The sequence below is a fragment of the Homo sapiens genome, chromosome 7 (assembly GCF_000001405.40).
Source record: "Homo sapiens chromosome 7, GRCh38.p14 Primary Assembly".
NCBI classification, from domain to species: Eukaryota; Metazoa; Chordata; class Mammalia; order Primates; family Hominidae; genus Homo; species Homo sapiens.
In genome coordinates this window covers 33,724,794-33,729,068 of record NC_000007.14, presented here as the reverse complement: position 1 = coordinate 33,729,068, position 4,275 = coordinate 33,724,794, and the positions used below count along the sequence as shown (strand labels likewise).

Below are 4,275 nucleotides of genomic sequence, written 5' to 3'. Positions count from 1 at the left end.
AGGAGTGAGTTACACTGTGTTTAGGGTAGGAAACAAAAATATATATTTTTATGGTCCTGGGAAAAGGTGAGTCCGACCATTCATTCGAGGCGGCTTCTGTATTCCCCAGGACTACATTAGAGGAAAACTTCCTGGAAGGCTTTCCACAACTGATAACCTCTCAGTCTCCAGAGAGCAAAGAATAGAAAATACCTTGAGTTGTGGAAGCCATTATGTGAAAACAAATTTAGAATAAATGGGACTGATCAGAGATTAGTGTTGGAACTAACAAACTATGGGTTTACTTGGCAAGTTAAGAGTAGAAACATGAATGCAACGGGCAATGTTGAAACTGTAGACACTAGAACAAACTGCTTTAAATTGTATTTATGTCCTGAGAGAACCCATTTGCTATCAAATAACTAATTACACTCCTGTCTGTTCATTGAAGGAAGCCCCAAAAGACTCCCTTCCAGAAAGCGGTCTGGTTTCAGCCAATGGTTACATTTATTTTTAAGTGTAGCCCTCAATCTCAAAATGGGCGACAGCGAGACTCCGTCTGAAAAAAAAAAAAAAAAGTAATATTCCAGACTTGTCTTCCCTCAGTTGATACAAATTACCAGGCAGGAACTATTTAATTCAGAAGTTTATTTGCAAGGCCCCAGGAGAAGACAGGTAGCAACTCCAGAGAAGGGAAGGAAGGGAAGGGTAGGAAAATATTGATTAGCCATCTATGTGCCAGGCAGCATGTTTGGGGCCTTACAACCTTCAAGAAGCTATTATCACCTCATTTTAGACAGGAGACCGAAACTCAGAGATGTTCATTAATTTGCCGTGGCCACACAGCATTGATTGGAAAAGGCAAGGACGAACTGACAACTAAGTTCATGCCCTTTCCAGGGTATCATGTCACCTTTCAAAATTGAGGACCCTAGAATCTTCCAGTTGATCACTCTCTCCATGTGCCCCAGCCTCTTTCTGCCTGCAAACGCAGATCTAACTGGATCCCAGAGACGATCACTACCTCCCTTATTCTTCACCATCTCTATGGAAGGAACCCCTACCTCCTCCCTGGGGCAAGGTGCATGGGAAACTGAGTCTGCACCACCCATGGGGCAAGGCTGCCATGCTTGGACAGAGAGGCCAGGCATTCCAGACAACTCCCCCTGCCCCACCCCCACAAGGAGAGCCTGAGGGGTAGGGTGAGGAGGTGCTGGGGAGTTTCCAGTTTCAGGAGCTGTTTGCCCTAAGATGGAGAAAGACAGGTCACAGCGGTGCTCCAGTGCAGATTTGAACAATTTGTTGCAGCCACAGGAAACTTCCGAAATGTCTTTCCCAGCAGCTCTGCCTCCGCCAGGAGCAGGAGCATGTTTGTGTGGCTGCAGGGCACCGGGAGCAGCGCTCTGTGCTCTCCCGGCTCCCTGTGGCAACAGGAGCAAGAACTTCGGGGGGTCAGGCATAGAAACCACAGCAATGAGATCTGACTTCAAAAACACAGAGCCGCGATGTCCACTTCCAGAACACACAACATCTGGATGGATCACCAACAAGATTCCTGCGACCTGAGGTGGAGGCAGGGCAGGAGGCGTGCCTCGGGCCTTGTGGCTTGTGGGGAAAACCTGTCTCCCTCGCAGCCCCCCACCCCCCTCCTTCACTCACGCCTGCATTGTTGTGGGGCTCCCAAGTGAGTGTTCTCTAAGCACTCTAGTGGCCTCATTCCCAAACACTCCTCCCATCACTTTATCCCCAGCTCTAAAAATTGTTCTTGCTTCCTCTTAGCCTAGAGCAGTGCTTGAAGGAGGATAGAAATTTCCTGGGGGTCTTGTTAAAATGCAGGTTGTGATTCAGCAGGCCTGGGGTGAGCCCGGGCTTCTGCGTGTCTAACAAGCTTTCAAGTCCAAGGATGCTGTTGGTCCCAGGACCACACTTTGAATGGCAAAGGCCAGTACGTATGTCCCAGATTCCTAAGTCTGGTGTTCAAAACTCTGGGCCCCTCCCCCTAGACTACCTTTCTTACCTCCTTGATCTCTTCCCCACCCCTGCGATGCTCCGGGCAGAGTCACCTGCCAGCCCACAGGCACACCCACACCCCAGCTTGCCCACCGCGGGGGTTCTGTGCCCACCATTTCCCTCAGCAGGAAAGCTAGCACCCAGCTCTGCCGTTCAAATCTTACCTCCTTCAAGTCCTAGCCTTCCCATAAAGACCATTGTCTTCCTTACAGGAAGAGCTGCATTCCAGAGCCATGGCATACAAAGGGAACAATCTCTGCTTTCTCAGGAAGTGTCAAACCCAGACACTGTTTGGGAGAGACAGATCTGGGCCGCCTCCCTAGAGTGGTGGAGCAACCCCTGAAAGCTGCCTTGGCTGGGACCATGGCTCTCCGATGGGAAGGCCTGCTGCATGATGGCCCTTTCGGAAGGGCATTCACTAGAGTCTGGTATGCTTAACAATTTGGAAACCAGGGTCCGTCATGCAGTGAATACATGTGTCTGAGAAAATCTGGCTGATACAGATAGAATTTCATTTTCATGCTTCACCTTGGTAAGGCCAAATACCAGCTAATGAAAAGTGGATTATGAATTCTTTTTCTTTTTGAGATACAGTGTCACTATGTCGCCCAGGCTGGAGGTGCAGTGGTTCGATCTCATCTCACTGCAACCTCCACCTCCCGGGTTCAAGCGATTCTCATGCCTCAGCCTCCTGACCTAGCTGGGATTATTGGTGTGCATCACCACGCCAGGCTAATTTTTGTATTTTCAGTAGAGACGGGGTTTCGCCATGTTAGCCAGACTGGTCTTGAACACCTGGCCTCAAGTGATCTGCCCACCTCGGTCTCCCAAAGTGTGGGGATTACAGGTGTGAGCCATCGCACCTGGCCTGTACTTTCTATAAAAATATTTTATACCATCTGATATTTAACTGGAAAATGACTGCAGAACTCTTAGCCATCCTTTGTTTTAAATATTCAAAAGCACTTACCTGACACAGGCCCCTAAGAAAGGCTATCTGGGGCACTCTTTTAGTTTTTCTGTTTTATTCCTGATGGTGAAATTCCAGCCAAGATTTTCTGGTTGTGGAACCTCTTCTGATTCTGCCGTTTCACTGACTGGAAATGATTGCTAATTGGAATGAAAATTTTCATCTTATCTGCCCCTCTGTTATTTTGCAGAGGAGGGTGTGGTGTTATCAGTTTGCAGTGGGGTTTAGGGGTGGTGTCAGCCTTGCAGAAGGTTTGGTGGGTTTTCATTTCCCTGGCTTTGCTATCTGCTGTTTTGAGGGAAATGGGTAACCGGATCTTAGAATCCCTGGATGTGAAGAGATAACATTGACTATAGGCAATTCTATTTACTGATAAAAATAATATAGTTTTCAAACAGTCCCACAATGAGTCACTTCTAAATAGTCAGAAATACATTTCCTGCTATTATTCTTTGAGACTGAATTGATAATTTTATAAAATTACTCCCCTCACTAAGGTAGTCCTATTGAATGCATGCCGAATTTGCAACATGGTCTTAAATCTGCAGTACCCTGGTCTTTTGGGACCCACCAGATATGAATCAAAGTCCCGAGCATATTCTCTCATAAGAAATGTACTCTACTTGCTTCTTGCTGTTCACGTTACCAAGAAAAAGAAATGTATTCTACATCTAGCTCCCCTTCCTGAAAATAACAAAGAATAGCATCAGAGCAAGAGTCAGACAAAATCTACTGGCAAGAGTCCAGAATGTCAGGGCACTAGCTCTTCAGCCATCCCCCTCTTTGGCAAAAGGCAAACATCACAAATCACTGATAAGCCAAAGCCTCATCTAAGCACCGAGTGTGGCTGTGGGCTCTTGAAGCAAAAGTCAAGAGACCTGGATGCTATGTCCTGCTGCTTTGCCCCTCAACAGCTTGGTTACTTTGGGCAAGTCTTTTAATCAATGTGAGCCTCAGCTTCCTTATCTGGAAAATGGGGTTAACGACTGCCCCACTTACCTTGCAGGATGGCTGTGACAGTCAAGCCAGATTGTTCCTGGGCAAGCACCTTCTAAATTTACACAAAGAGGTGAGTGCCATGTGATTGGCAGGGAGTATCCGCTGCCGGTTCTGGGGCTCAACAAAGCAGTTCTGTCTTCTGCTGTGCTCCCAGCCTTCCCTCCCAACCTGGGTTACCTTTTAAAGATAGAAGAATTGGCTGGGAGCAGTGGCTCACGCCTGTAATCCCAGCACTTTGGGAGGCTGAGGCAGGCAGATCACGAGGTCCACAGATCGAGACCATCCTGGCCAACCTGGTGAAACCCCGTCTCTACTAA

The 4,275-nt window shown here is 47.7% G+C and overlaps 1 long non-coding RNA gene across 1 annotated transcript; it reads right to left on the bottom strand.

Moving 5' to 3' along the window:
* Positions 1-464: 464 nt before the first annotated feature.
* Positions 465-3,088, bottom strand: FLJ20712 (uncharacterized). The gene is made up of 2 exons (NR_165282.1): positions 2,960-3,088; positions 465-1,541 (listed from the first exon to the last, which is right to left on the bottom strand). It is a non-coding gene; the product is annotated as an uncharacterized FLJ20712 (long non-coding RNA).
* Positions 3,089-4,275: the final 1,187 nt, after the last annotated feature.